Source organism: Homo sapiens, chromosome 13, assembly GCF_000001405.40.
Source record: "Homo sapiens chromosome 13, GRCh38.p14 Primary Assembly".
NCBI lineage: Eukaryota > Metazoa > Chordata > Mammalia > Primates > Hominidae > Homo > Homo sapiens.
This window is the reverse complement of record NC_000013.11, coordinates 113,500,974-113,516,475: the sequence shown is the minus strand read 5'-3', so window position 1 is coordinate 113,516,475 and position 15,502 is coordinate 113,500,974. Positions and strand designations below refer to the sequence as shown.

At 48.5% G+C, this 15,502-nt stretch overlaps 1 protein-coding gene across 30 annotated transcripts in view; it reads right to left on the bottom strand.

Annotated features, from left to right (window-relative positions):
* Positions 1 to 15,502, bottom strand: part of SLC9D1 (solute carrier family 9 member D1) — a 59,209-nt gene that overhangs the window by 33,754 nt on the left and 9,953 nt on the right. For 21 of the 30 annotated variants that reach the window (NR_146222.2, NR_146221.2, NM_017905.6 and 18 more), the window contains 3 exons: positions 14,596 to 14,724; positions 12,888 to 12,980; positions 6,052 to 6,238 (listed from right to left, as the gene is read on the bottom strand). Coding sequence is in view for 27 of the 30 variants with exons in the window: in NM_017905.6 (NP_060375.4) it covers positions 6,052 to 6,238; positions 12,888 to 12,980; positions 14,596 to 14,724 (409 nt within the window). In the remaining 3 variants the exon portion in view is untranslated. Of the gene's footprint in view, positions 1 to 150; positions 434 to 5,223; positions 5,936 to 6,051; positions 6,239 to 12,887; positions 12,981 to 14,595; positions 14,725 to 15,502 lie in introns of those variants that run through there. The other 9 variants (XR_007063685.1, NM_001349746.2, NM_001349743.2 and 6 more) reach the window with 3 other exon arrangements.

Sequence of the window (15,502 nt, the reverse complement as noted above, 5' to 3'; positions counted from 1 at the left end):
TTGTGCCTCAGCCTCCCGAGTAGCTGGGGATTACAGGCGTGTGCCACCATGCCCGGCTAATTTTTATATTTTCAGTAGAGATGAGGTTTTGCCATGTTGGCCAGGACGGTCTTGAACTCCTGACCTGATGTGATCCACCTGCCTTGGCCTCCCAAAGTGCTGGGATTACAGGCATGAGCCACCATGCCTGGACATATATAGGAATTTCTAATAAAATTTCAAGCATATGCAAAAGTAGAAAGAAAAATACAGTGCATCTCAAGGAACAAATAATCCAGTTTCCATGATCAGGCAGACTAACCTTGTTTCATACACTAACCTCCACTCTACCCTCCTAAGGGAAACCCCAGTCATCCTCTTAACCATACCTTTCAATGTGCATCTCTAAGACACAAGGCTGGTGTCCAAATTGGGAAGAATGAATTTAATGATCCTGTAAGCAGATGAGATTATCTCATATGTAGAAAATCCTAAAGATTCCACACACAAAAATCTATTACAATAAACCAGTTCACAAAGTTGCAGGGCACAAAATAAACACACACAAGTCAGCTGCATTTCTTTTTTTTTTTTTTTTTTTTTTTTGGGACGGAGTCTCGCTCTGTCAACCAGGCTGGAGTGCAGTGGCACGATCTCGGCTCACTGCAAACTCTGTCTCCCGGGTTCACGCCATTCTTCTGCCTCAGCCTCTTGAGTGGCTGGGACTACAGGCGCCCGCCACCATGCCCGGCTAATTTTTTGTATTTTTAGTAGAGACGGGGTTTCACCATGTTAGCCAGGATGGTCTCGATCTCCTGACCTCGTGATCCGCCCGCCTCGGCCTCCCAAAGTGCTGGGATTACCAGCGTGAGCCACCGTGCCCAGCCACTTACCTTGTTTTTAAAAACAATTATTATAAAATACTTTGGATCAAGAAAAAAGGTACAAAGCATGTCATGAACAACCAGAGCCATCACTGAGCTTCTGGAAGAAATGTCACAAGCAGCCGACTGCCCTGCGTCTCTCTCTGATGGCATGCCTCCCCATCTCTGGCACAGCCACCCGGCCACATCTGTCATTCTCAAACACTTCTTGTTGCTTTTAGTGTAAAAGTTTGCATGTATGTAAAGTTCAGACTTTAAACACATAAAACATGTTGCATTCCACATCTTCTATCTTTCCCTCCATGCTACAGAATTCACATTTGCTTCTGCAGCATTCCAATGTATGAATACATCTTAACTGTCCAGCATGTTACTGAATATTCAGTTGATTAATTTTTTGCTACTAAAAATAATGCTGTTTTGAATTATAATAATTTGCAAGAATTTTCTAGGATATGTATATAGAAATGGAATTTTCTGATTGCAAAATTGTTCTCCAAAGTGGCTGAACCAATTTACATTCCCATGGAGAATGCTTAGATCTTGCAACTCCACATTCTTGCCAATGGTAGATCAGGTTAAAAATGTCTGCCAGGGCCAGGTGCGGTGGCTCATGCCTGCAATCCCAACGCTTTGGGAGGCCGAGGCAGGAGGACTGCTCGAGGCCAGGGTTCAAAACCAGCCTGGGTAACATAGCAAGACCTCCATCTCTACAAAAAGACTAAAAACTTAGCCAGGCATGGTGGCACACGCCTGTCATCCCAGCTACTCAGGATGCTGAGATGGGAGGATCACTTGAGCCCAGGAGGTTGGGGCTGCAGTGAGCCAAGATCAAGCCACTGCACTCCAGCCTGGGTGACAGCAAGACTCGGTCTAAAACAAAGCTTGGCAGCAAGCTCGTGTGGATGGCGTCGATCTCAGTCCCATCAGCCTGCACCCCGAATACTAGCGAGGCTCATGTCTTCCTGTTGCAAGACTCGGTCTAAAACAAAGCTTGGCAGCAGGCTTGTGTGGATGGCGTCGATCTCAGTCCCATCAGCCTGCACCCCAAATACTAGCGAGGCTCATGTCTTCCTGTTGCAAGACTCGGTCTAAAACAAAGCTTGGCAGCAGGCTTGTGTGGATGGCGTCGATCTCAGTCCCATCAGCCTGCACCCCGAATACTAGCGAGGCTCATGTCTTCCTTTTTGTTCATCATTTAGGTTTCTTCTCCCGTAAGTTATTTGCTCAGATATTCTGCCTATTTTCCCATTAGGTTACTTTTTGGTTTGGATTTACAGACGTTCTTGATACATTCTGAATATTAATCCTTTGCTCTAAACAAACAATAAATAACTATAGGAAATGTCTTCCTCTGGCCTGTGGCTTATTAAAAAAAAATGCCTTTCAATAAAAGTTACAGTTGTCCCCATAGTGAGGTTAGTATGAAAAAGAAGGTTACAAAGTCAAATGTGTCATATGTATCAGTATTTTCTCTTTTGAATTCTGCATTTTATATTTTAAGGAATTCTACCCTAAGGTTATAAGGATATTTTCTATTTCCTTCTCGTAGTTCTAAAGTCAAGCTAATTTCATTTTCTTACGTTGGATAGCTAATTCCCACTCCTGGTAAGTCGATCTCCCCAGCTTCTCTGCAGCGTCTGGGCTGTGGGCCCCGACCCCCCGGCTCCATCTCAGCCTGTGGTGCTGCTATCCACCGGGACATCCTCAGTCTTGAGAGCTGGCGGGGGACTCCTCACCTCAAATTAATGTTGCCTATTCTTAGCTTTTTGGTACCCACTGAATTTTAGGATCAGTTTCTTCAGTTTCATGAAAACTCCTGCCAGATTTTTTTTATTGGAACAGCTATGAGTTTATAAATTTGGGGAGAAGTGACATCTTTATGAATGGAGTCTTTTTATGAACTCTGTGAGCATGAATTCACTCCATTTGTGACTTTATCCTCAAAGGTCACAGCTCTCTTTTGATAAGTTTATTCCCAAAGCTTTTTTTTCAAATTACAATTTCTAACTGTGCTGTGGGTATATTACACATTTAACATGTCTAACTGTAAATTTCCTTTCAGTGTCCAAGTCCTTGACTCTAACTACCTCCCAAACATGCAACCCTCCTATCTTCTTACTATCTAGAGTTTTAGCCTGGCCTTTAAAAAAACAAACTCAAACATCTCCTTTTCTAACAGTCATAACTGACTAAATGTATCACCTTCTAGCCCCCTCTGTCTCCCTGCTGCTTCCACGCCCAGCTCTGCCTCTGCAGGGCCTGGGTCTGGGCCCTGTGGGGACTGCTGGGTGGGCGGTGCTCTGGGGTCTTTGCACATCAGAAATGCCTGCATTTTACCCCCTACTCTTGGATGGTACTTTCACTGGGCACACATGACTTGTCTCCCCAGGGTGTGGGTTACCTATCCGCTATCTCCCACCATCTGACGTTGCCGAGGAGACGTGTCCTATCAGCCCAATTATTTGCTGTTCCTTTTTAAACCACCTGTCTTTTCTGCCAAGTGTTCAGACGTTCCCTTCTACTTCATGCTCAGCTGCAGAACATGACATGCCTGGGTGGACTTATTTCCCCTTATCCCATCAGTGTTGGAGATGGGCTCCTGTCTCGAGTTCTGAAAACCTACCAGGTCCTCTTTCCAGTCTCGGCCCCTGGGGCTCTGAGTCTATATATACTGACCCTCTCCATCTACATTCTGGCCCCTGGGGCTCCGAGTCCATATATACTGACCCTCTCCATCTACACTCTGGCCCCCTTCCAGTCCCAGCACCTGGGGCTCCGAGTCCACATATACTGACCCTCTCCGTCTACACTCTGGCCCCCTTCCAGTCCCAGCACCTGGGGCTCCAAATCTATATATACTGACTCTCTCCGTCTACACTCCGGCCCCCTTCCAGTTCCAGCACCTGGGGCTCCAAATCTATATATACTGACTCTCTCCATCTACACTCCAGCCCCCTTCCAGTCCCAGCACCTGGGGCTCCAAATCTATATATACTGACTCTCTCCGTTTACACTCCGGCCCCCTTCCAGTTCCAGCACCTGGGGCTCCGAGTCTATGTACACTGACCCTCTCCATCTACTCTCCAACCCTCTCCGTCTACACTCCAACCTTCTCCATCTACGCTCCAACCCCCTCCATCTACACTCCGGCCACTGAGGCTCTGAGTCTATATATACTGACCCTCTCCATCTACACTCCAACCCTCTCCGTCTACACTCCGGCCCCTGGGGCTCTGAGTCCATATATACTGACCCTCTCCATCTACACACCAACCCTCTCCCTCTCCAGTCCCGGCCCCTGAGACTCCGAGTGTATATATATACTGACCCTCTCCATCTACACTCCAACCCTCTCCCTCTCCAGTCCCGGCCCCCGCGACTCCGAGTGTATATATACTGACCCTCTCCATCTACACTCCGGCCCTCTGCCTCTCCAGTCCCGGCCCCCGCGACTCCGAGTGTATATATACTGACCCTCTCCATCTACACACCAACCCTCTCCCTCTCCAGTCCCGGCCCCTGAGACTCCAAGTATATATATATACTGACCCTCTCCATCTACACTCCAACCCTCTCCCTCTCCAGTCCCGGCCCCCGCGACTCCGAGTGTATATATACTGACCCTCTCCATCTACACTCCGGCCCTCTGCCTCTCCAGTCCCGGCCTCCGTGACTCCGAGTGTATATATACTGCACACCTCCGAGTGTATATACACCGTGCACTGATTTTGAAGTCTTTGTGAAGCTTCTCTGTCCATAAGGGCAGTTCACGCTGTGACTGCTGAGTCCGTCAGCTCTTTTCCAGCCACAGATTTCTTCACAGGTGTGGGTGTCCCGTGTGCGGGCCACTAAACTAGGAGCTGTTTTCATGCGTCGTTCCTGGTCCCCACTTGGTCTTTTTTCATTTCACTCAGCCCCCGACCCTCCAACCCTGTCCAGTCTCACGATGGGGCTGACCCTAGGACCAGCCCACAGGGATGCTGGCACCAGCACGGAGGAGGCCCATGGCCGGGGCCACCCGTCCAGCGTCTAGCAGGGAGGCTGCATCCGTGTCCTACTGGCGCCTCAGGCCCCGCAGAAAGCCGCAGATTTTTAAAAAGTTTTCCCTGCCTCCTTTCACAGACAGATGCTTCCCAACTGCCTGTCACACAGTGAGGGCACATGTGGGTCCCACATGCTCCAGCACCCTGCTTGGCGGCCCATGGCCAGCTCTGCTCAGCCTCTCAGTTGCCGGCACAGAGCCTCTCGGTTTATGGGAGAGGTCAGACATACCTCTTTGGTTTTCTCTTTCCGTATTTTCTCTTCTATGCCTGTGTGTTCTGTGCAGGGTGAACGTCAGAGTGAAGTGACTGTGACATTTCGACCCCGTATTTTACTGACTTTTACAAAATAAGAGCAAAACAGTGACAGCTTACCCAGTGGGTAGGCAGGCTGTCAGAAACAGCCACCTGCCAAGCCTCCCCGCACAGGGACACGGTCCTGCCTAGGTTTCCGAGTGAGTCGGCTTCCACTGTCCTCCCCGCACAGGGACACGGTCCTGCCTAGGCTCCGAGCAAGTCGGCTTCCACTGTCCTCCCCGCACAGGGACACGGTCCTGCCTAGGCTTCCGAGTGAGTCGGCTTCCACTGTCCTCCCCGCAGAGGGACACGGTCCTGCCTAGGCTCCGAGCAAGTCGGCTTCCACTAAACAGTCACGACTTAGAAGCGGCAATGTTTCATACATACGATGAAACTAAGGCCAAAGCCAAAGAGTCGGGAACACCTTCAGTTACCAAAGCACCTTGATTTCACAGGAAGAAAGTATCAAAAGTGTATCAATTCCCAGTGCCTGCTAGAATTAAAGCAGCAAAACATACGCAACTTCCTAAAATCCACCAGTTCCACAGGTCATTTTCCAGTGCTGACTGGTTTTTCAAAATCTTGGTCCAATTTCTCTCTGGCCCTCAATCAATCCTCACGGGCATTTTTCTTAATCAAGTGGAGAAGTGGAGGTTTGGAGGAGCTGAGTTCACAGGGACACCATTTCCTTGCAGAATGTAAGCCCTGGTATCCACCATGGTTAGGAAAGTCCTAAGAGGGGAAATAAGACTTTGCAATTTTTCCTCACATGCCCTCAACTGTGAATCCAAAAGTCACCTACACACGAGCATGAATTAGACACGCACTCAGAACATGCCGTCACCTACCTTCTTTGTCACCCCGAGCACTGCCCATGAGGAACCTGGACACGAGGGGTGTGCTTGACAAGGACAGACACGTGGAAATGAAGACGCTCTGCGTGGGTTTGATCCGCAAGAGATGCCCCCACAGCAAGCCAAATGCAATCATTAACAGTGTCATGTAACACGGCCCTTGTAAGGAAATCTTCCACACCTTAAAGAGAACACAGTGAGTCACACACTTTTTAGTGACAACAGGCAATGACCACACCACACAGACTTCACGCATTTCTGCATCCAGGAAAGGAGGCAGAGCTGAGCTTTTGTGAAGCAACGCTGGGGTCACCATCTGAACATGGTGAATCCTCACACAGGGCTTCCTCTGTGCCAGGCACTGTCACAGGGCTGCACACACACAATACACGCACACGCACTCTCTCCCCATGTGTGTGAATAGAACCTAATCCTCAGAACACCCTGAGCTCAAGATGACCATTTTCCCCACTTTCAGATGAAAACACCGAGGCACACACAGGTTAAGTGACTCGCCCAAGGTCACGTGGCCAGTAAATGTTGGAGCCAGGAAGTGCACCCAGGCCCTGTGGCTCGGCATTCGAAGCGGCTCTATAGTGCCTCGGGGTGCACTCAGCACTGTGTTAAACCAGACGGGAAGGTGGAAGAAAGCACGCTTCAATCGTAAAATAATAAAAACTACCGACATATAAACATAAATACGATACATCAACCAAAGAAATTAACCTGGAACTCCTCCTATTCCACGTGAAGTGCTCATTCATATTTTTTTCTCCTCACTGCATGGTCCCAATCAATATAAGCATCAATTCCCTAATTCCAGGCCCTCTACAGAAAGTGAAAGTTGGGGTGGGGGCCCTAGAAGGAAGGGGTGCAGGGGCTGTGTGGCTAAACATAGGCGTCATGGAGCAGCCGGGCACATGCGGCTCCGGGAGAGCCCACCCAAGAAGCCTGCCAGTCCCAACATAGGCAGCTCCAGGGGGGACCCACCCACCAAGCCCGCCAGTCCCAACATAGACAGGCAGCTCCAGAGGACCCACCCACCAAGCCCACCAGCCCCAACATAGGCAGCTCCAGGGGGGACCCACCCACCAAGCCTGCCATCCTAACACAGGAAGCTCCAGGGGGGACCCACCCACCAAGCCCACCAGTCCCAACATAGACAGGCAGCGCCAGGGGGACCCACCCACCAAGCCCGCCAGTCCCAACATACACAGGCAGCTCCAGGGGGGACCCACCTGCCAAGCCCGCCAGCCCCAACATACTCAGGCACCTCCAGGGGGGACCCACCCACCAAGCCCACCAGCCCCAACATACACAGGCAGTGTCAGGGGACCCACCCGCCAAGCCCACCAGCCCCAACATACACAGGCAGTGTCAGGGGACCCACCCGCCAAGCCCGCCAGTCCCAACATACACCGGCAGCTCCAGGGGGGACCCACCCGCCAAGCCTGCCAGTCCCAACGTACTCAGGCAGCTCCGGGGGGACCCACCCACCAAGCCCGCCAGCCCCAATGTACCTTGGGTGCTTTGGAGCATGTGAGCCTTTCCCTCCCCACCTAGTTCTTAGTGAAAAATAACACTTCTTGCAAAATTACAACTTTTTTTTTGAGAATCAGGGAAATGAGCAGACACGCCCCAGCTTCCCACAGTTGTGACCAGCTGGCCTGCTTGTCCACCATGGAGCTTCCGGACCCCAAAGGGGAAGCACAGTGCCTTCCAACCCCATGAGGCCCGGGCTCACTTCATCTGAACACTGAGATGTCATGTGACAGGAGGCCAGCAGATGCCACTTAACAGCTCTGGGCTGCGGAGACTCAGGTAAGTCTCTACTCTGCTCGGCCCCCTCTCTCCTTCCACAAGGAGGGGAAGGGTCGGTCCCACAAAGCCTGCCTCTGAATTTCTTTTCTCTACTTCCTATGCTTGGCAATTGTGATGGTTATCACAGAGCGCGTCTCACACCCTTCCTCTTCCGAATATCACGGCCGAAGAGCAATGGAAGCACCCGTGCTGTCCACGCTGGCTGCAGCCTGAGGAGGCCACGGGCGTGGGGGTTACTCCTGCAAGCAGTGTTAGCCAGCTCTAATTCTGGGTCTTCCTAACCCTCAAGGGACACATGGAGTTGAGGCCTGATCTGCCACTAACTCGCTGTGCGCCCTGGGTGGGTAGCAATCTCTCTAGCTTTAGTTTCTATAGAGAACAGGCGAGACTCTGTTATCTCTGAGGTCATTACCAGGGTGAACCTTGTCTGACGTTATTATCTTGTGTTACCCCACATTCCAGCCAGGAGGGCCCTGGGAGAAAGGTGTCCAGACACCACAGTGGGAAACGGCACCAGGAAAGGCCACAGGGGCACAGGTGAGAGTAAGAAGCTTCCTGTTCAACACGGGACCCGTGCATGCATCAGAAACCCCATCTGCAGGTGCGCCCAGGTCAGAATCTGTGGGTTACCAAGCCCCCCAGATGGCTGCCTGTGGGCTGAAGGTCAGGAGGCGCTGACGGGAGGGCCCCTTGGCACCCCCGGCGCCAAGACACATTCTCCTGAAATCCCAAAATACAAGCCGCAGGGTAGGCACACACGTACGTTATACCTGCCTCACCCAGCAGCCCCTGAAGGGCCTGGAACACCACAGGTGCTCAACAGGTATTTGTAGTTAGAACAGAGAAGATACAAGACAGAAGCAAACGAAACTCCCAACCACAATGACTTGAGAAACAATCTGGAGAGAGGCAGAAACTGACAGACTCTTAAGAGATCAAGTTTAAGGAACAGTTGAAGTCAGGCTAGAGGAGCGAGCAGCTACAAGGGCGAGAACAGAGTGGGCAGCTTTCCTCAGCACTATGCACGGCGCAGTTTCGGGGCTTCAGTGTTCCAAGTAGTTTCTAATCATATCTTTAGAAGTCCTAAGAGGGGCCTTCTGGCAAGTATTAACATTTCAAAAACCCAAGGAAATTATTTTCCCACCCATAAGTGTGGTGTGCAAGCTAACCCACGTGGCAGGAGGCTCATCAGTTCAGAAAAGTCACTCCGGGTATCTCAGGTTATTCTAAAGCTTGGCCAGATATTTATACCTGAGTAATAAAAAGGGGAAAATAAACACATTGCTTAATAATGTCGTTTTCTGGGTGGATACAGATCTGCAATCCGAGTCCACAGACTTAGAAAAACAGCGGGATGCCGTCTCCATGAACCAGGGTGGGGCCAGACTCCGACGGCTCCCTCCGGGGACAGCAGCACAGGCTCGGCAACGGGTGAGAGGAGTTGGGACCGGGAGACCCTCGTCAGCGCCAAGACACCCGCACATCCCAGACACAGAAGGAACCCTGCCCAGCCCCACTCAATCAGATGTCAGCAAGGAGTTTCACAGACGTCTCCTGAGTCCCAATCCAGTGTCCTTCCACGCATCTGACTCTGTCACCACGCAGGGCAGCTGAGCACAACTTACTAACAGAGAACGCCAGCCTCTTGCCAAGCCCCCGAGTCTACACCACCAAGCAGGCACTTCAGAACCGGGTGCAAACCCTCGGAAGCACCATTAGACGACAGCAGGCCTGATGAAGCACATGCTCACGCTGCTCACAATTACCTCCACCTTACGTTATACAACATTATTTTTTATTTAACTGTGAATACTATAGTGGAGAAAAATACAAACTATGAAAATGCAGAGCCAGAAGACACTGGAGCCTTCTAGATTCCTCACTGTACAGGAGAGGAACACAGGTCCAGGCAGATCAGTGCCTTGTTGACGCTCTGCTGCACAGCCAGAACTTCATCCCTCCCACCTCCCCTACGGGTTGGCCCTAAATTGCCCTTTGCTGCAAACCTCTCTAAATTACACACACACACACACACACACTCACACACACACGCCCATGCTGCACCATGGAATGGAGGCCTTGTGTTTTTACGGAGTCTCGTGGGACACTGGTGAGACAGGGCACTGGACAGCCACATCCCCAAACCCCCTATAACAGGCTCCTCCACAGGCCAGGCAGCCACGCGGCCCACTCCCCCTTACCCTCCCCACCCATAACAGCTTCTTCCTCCACAGGCCAGGCAGCCACTGGCTGACACCCCCTTACCCTCCCCACCCATAACAGCCTCTTCCTCCACAGGCCAGGCAGCACGCGGCCCACTCCCCCTTACCCTCCCCACCCATAACAGGCTCCTTCCTCCACAGGCCAGGCAGCCACGTGGCCCACGCCCCCTTACCCTCCCCACCCGTAACAGGCTCCTTCCTCCACAGGCCAGGCAGCCACGCGGCCCACGCTCCCTTACCCTCCCCACCCACAACAGTCTCCTCCACAGGATTAACGGCAAGGATGACACAGCTTTTCATTAGGACCCAGGAGAGTGGTGAATTCTCTTTAATCATGGAGCTTAGAAATTAACAATTTACAAGAAATATAAAAAGATGCAAAGTACCTGGAGAACACCCTAAAGTTAATTCAGAACACCTTATGAGGATGCCTGTCTTCAGGAGTGTACACAGGAAAGGGAGAGTAATGGGAAGATGGAAAAACGGAGCTTTTAGTGGAAAAACAGAAAGATAAAGAAAACAAAAAGTTCTAGGTAAGAGGATGAACTGAGGAAGCAAATGGGAAGAGAGTATAAAGAAAAACATGCCAGTGAGATCAGAGTTGACTTCTGAAAGTAAACACAAGCCTTTAAAAGAAAAGTTTATTCTTCCTCCTAATGACAAAGTATTGACTGCTTATTATAGAAAATTTGGAAAATATGGAGAAGAAACCAGAAGTCATCATGGCTACCCGGAACGCTTCTTTCCCATTTTTCCCCCATGTATTGGTGCTTCTTTTACATTGCCGCGGTCATGTTACATGCTCCTTTTTTCCCCACATTTAGCTTTCCAACCGATATTTTGCTCTGTTGCTGATGCTCTTGTTACTTTGCAGTGGCTACCTAACACTCCATGGTAGTCACGCCGCAGCTGAACTGACCGTTAGATGCTCAGGACTGGTTCCACTGTTTCTTAAAAATTTACAATGAGGAGGTGAAACCTTTTGTGGGTAAATTTTTTAAAAACTTATGTTTGATTCTTTCCTTTGGAGAGAGACCTAGAAGAACTACCAGGTCAAGGCATATGTACATTTTAAGGCTTTTAGGTCAAATTGCTAGACAGCTCTCCAAAAAGAGTGTACAAATCCAAAGAGCTGGAGAAAATCTCCACAATCTATACATCCGACAAAGGACTAATATCCAGAATCTACAAAGAACTCAAAAAAGTCAGCAAGAAAAAAACAAACAACCCCATCCAAAAGTGGGCTAAGGATATAAATAGACAATTCTCTAAAGAAGATATACAAATGGCCAACAGACATAAAAAAATGCTGAACATCACTAATGATCAGGAAAATGCAAATCAAAACCACAATGCAATACCTTACTCCTCCAAGAATGGCCGTAACCAAAAAATGAAAAGAATAGATGTTGGCAGGGATGTGGGGAACAGGGAACACTTCTGCACTGCTGGTGGGAGCGTAAACTAGCACAACCACTAAGGAAAACAGTGTGGAGGTTGCTCAGAGAACTAAAAGTAGCTCTACCATTTGATCCAGCAACCCCACTGCCAGGGGAAAATAAGTCATTATACGAAAAAGAGACTTGCATGCACATGTCTAGAGCAGCACGATTTGCAGTTGCAAAAATATGGAACCAGCCCAAATGCCCATCAATAGAAAATGTGGTATTTATATACCATGGAATACTACTCAGCCATAAAAAGGAACAAAAAAGGGGTATTTGTAGCAACCTGGATGGAACTGGAGACCATTATTCTAAGTGCAGTAACTCAGGAATGGAAAATCAAACGTCGTATGATCTCACTCCTAAGCGGGAGCTAAGCTATGAGGACACAAATGTGTAAGAATGACACACTGGACTCTGCGGACTTGGGGCAAAGGGTGGTGGGTGGCGAGGGATAAAAGACTACACATCGGGAGCAGTGTACACTGCTCTGGTGACAGGTGCACCAAAATCTCACAGATCACCACTAAAGAACCTACGCATGTAACCAAACACCACCTGTTCCCAACAACCTATTGAAATAAAAAAATTTTAAATTAAAAAAAGAAGGAATACTACATGAGAGAGCTGAATGATTAGGCAAACCAGACACTGTAAATTAAGTCACTTTGTTTAAAATGACCAAGTCTTTCGTGGAAAAAAAACCCCAAAAATACAGAAAGGGTGTACAGTTGTGATTCTCACGAATCTGGTTCAAGAATGCCTGTTACATCTGACAGTCACTTAAAAACTTTTGCTAAGTCGATGCTAGTTTTCCAGCTAGCACTGCAGGCAAAGTGGTATCTGATCTTAATTCACAGGGTGTTTTTGTTATGAACAGTGTTCATTTTACCTCTCCCCACCCTGGCTTTTAATCAGCTACTTTCCTCTTTTGTGCGGTGTCTGGAAAAACAAAGTGTCTTTTAATTAACTCACTTCCAATTGACAAAGTTTTTTCTAGGGTAACACACTGAATATGCAAGCTCTATGACATCTGACCCTCTAACAGTTTCGCACCTTAGAGGGAGCCATCTATTAAAGTTCACACACATTACTTTCCAGACCCTTCCTGAAGTTAGCCATGTGAAGGCAAATTCCAATTCTTCACTGAATTTCTACGCTTTCAAACCTGATATTTTTTATCTTTCTGAATTTGTCCCAAAAATAACATCAAACCGAAATATCATATTCTATTCTAAAAACATTTGATAGTGAATTCATCAACAAGTGTTAAAAGTGTATGAACCAAAACCACATGATGTGAAGCTCCTTAGCTGCAGTAACAGGTTGATGAGGTCCTTACCTTTCTTAGCTTTTCTGGAGAAAATTCTAAGCCAACAAGAAAAAGAGTAAAAAACACCCCAAATTCTCCTAATGTCTCCACTTGCACAATAGACTGAAAAACACAAAAGAAAAACCATATAATTGTACATGTTTAACATATTAAGTATACTTAACTCAACAATCATGCCCTAGTATGCCCGGTGGAAGTATCCAAAACACACATACACACACACACACACACACACACACACACACACACACAATCACACAGTGTACTTCGATTAACCACTTCTCACTTTTGGCTAGTATGTGCTTTGATTTTTATCTTGGTCTATTTATAATTACATTATTTTCCATGGTTTAGCTGATTTATTAAGAATTATAATTTTTACAGCATCCAGTTGTATGTGTTACCCAGCCACTTCACCTTATTTGTTGGTTTATGAGCACCTTTGCTATTAAGAAAAAGAAGGAAGGAAATTTGTATTTGCTTTTATTTGCAAAGGGCAGGAAGTGATTTTTCACCTCTGGTGTTTTATACTTGAATCACGTGAAAAAGACCTACTCCAAAAACTACATTGAAACAGCCGTTCTTCCCAGAGGCCATTCTGCCAAGGCGAGCCCTGTCCTGGGAGCCCCCACACGTGGGCTTGCGGCTCCTCTGCCGGCCAGCCGCTCCCCAGGCCCAGGGTGCTGGGCGCGCTCCTCTTCACCAGCTGGGGCTCGAGCTCCTCAGACCCCTCCTGCCGCCCTGCGATCTGGAGAAAGCCCTGGGGCTCCTGGGCCTAGTCCCAGGCTCAACCAGCAGCAGAGGGAAAGAGGCTTGGAGGGAGCAGGCTGCACTCCTCCCCGTCCCACCCCCTGGCACGCCTCCCTCCAGTGGGACTCATGGCACCCACTCTGGCACCCGTTCTCCACGCTGCTCGCACCGTGAGTGTTGTGGGGAGACAGCTGGAAGCTTGGGAACCTTTCCTCCCTGTCAGAAGTGCCATCAGTGTGACGGGGCCCAGCAAACAGCCCCACTGCCCACTGCCTCGACTGGGGCTAATCAGCTTTTCCATGTGTTGTGAATGGGATGCTTAAAAACAGTTAATGGGCCAGGCAGGGTGGCTCATGCCTGTAATCTCAGCACTTTTGGAGGCCGAGGCGGGCGGATTATGAGGTCAGGAGTTCAAGACCAGTCTGACTAACATAGTGAAACCCCGTCTCTACTAAAAATACAAAAAATTAGCCAGGTGTGGTGGTGTGCACCTGTAATCCCAGCTACTCAAGAGGCTGAAGCAGGAGAATCATGTGAACCCGGGAGGCGGAGGTTGCAGTGAGCCAAGATTGCACCATTGCACTCCAGCCCGGGTGACAGTGCGAGACTCTGTCTCAAAAACAACAACAACAACAACAACAAAAACGGTTAATGCAACACTTTGGTTACATTCAGCACGTGAAAGGTGGTCTGAATAACCTGGTCCAGCACGTTACTGGAAATGGAGTCCTTAAAACTAATGGAAACGAGCAGGGGCGTTGTCTCCAGTAACACCGCCCCTTCACTAACAGGCACAGCGACTTCCTGAGGGTTCAGAGACTTCCCGTGACACCTGAAAGGACATCTTTGAAATGGTTTATACGAAGCTGGTATCTGCATTAATCACATTCAATACTTTTTAGTCTTCATGAATTCTCTTTTTATATTCTGTTAAACAGATACCAAAACAATCCAATTTTGTTCTTACCTTAATACTATTTAGTCCTGAAGGTCCCAGAAGTACACCACAAATAATATAACCAAACATTGTAGGCAATCCTATGGCTGTACATAGCCAGCCACAAGGCAAGGACAGCATTCCTATGGTAACAATGTCCTGAAGAATAAAATAAATAAGAAACAGAAGTATAAGATAACAGTGGTAAGAAGGGGGCTGGCTGGCTGAGGCACAGAACAGGACGTAGTTCCCCGATTTCACCTGATGGGAATGAAGGGTGAAGACAAAACCACCGATTTTCCTCATGCTGAGGATCCCAGAGAAGCTGAAAATATGAAGAGTGTATTCTGGGAATAGATGGAGTTAGTTTTTCATGGCCTAAAGATTACAGTCACCCCTCGGTATCTTTGGGGCAGTGGTTCCATGATCCTCCCCTGCCCCCCAGACCAGAATCCTCGGATGCTCAAGTCTCTGATACAAAACGGGATGGTATGTGCATATAACCTAGCACATCTTCCTATATACTTTAAAGCACCTCTAGATTACTTATGATACCTACACAATGGAAATTGATGTCATATTTTATTTGTATTTTTATTGTATTGTTATTCTTGGGTCTTTTTTCTGAATATTTTCATCCACAGTTGGTTGAATCTGAGGATGCAGAGCACGTGGACACAGAGGGCTGACTATACAGCAAAGTTTTTGTTTTGCTTAAGCCCCATAAGAGTGTTCTAAGAATTCTGAGTCCTAGAATTCCACTGAGTTTTCTAATCTGGGAAACTCTCAGTGCTGGTGTCCAAACTGTAATTCACGTGGCTTTGCCATGACGGGTGCAGGCAGGAATCTTTAGTGGGCGCTGGCACTGCTGCACCTGCAGCCCTGAAGGTCAGTGAGGAGCAGGATACTTACAGTCTCAAAATCTCTCCCTGGAAAT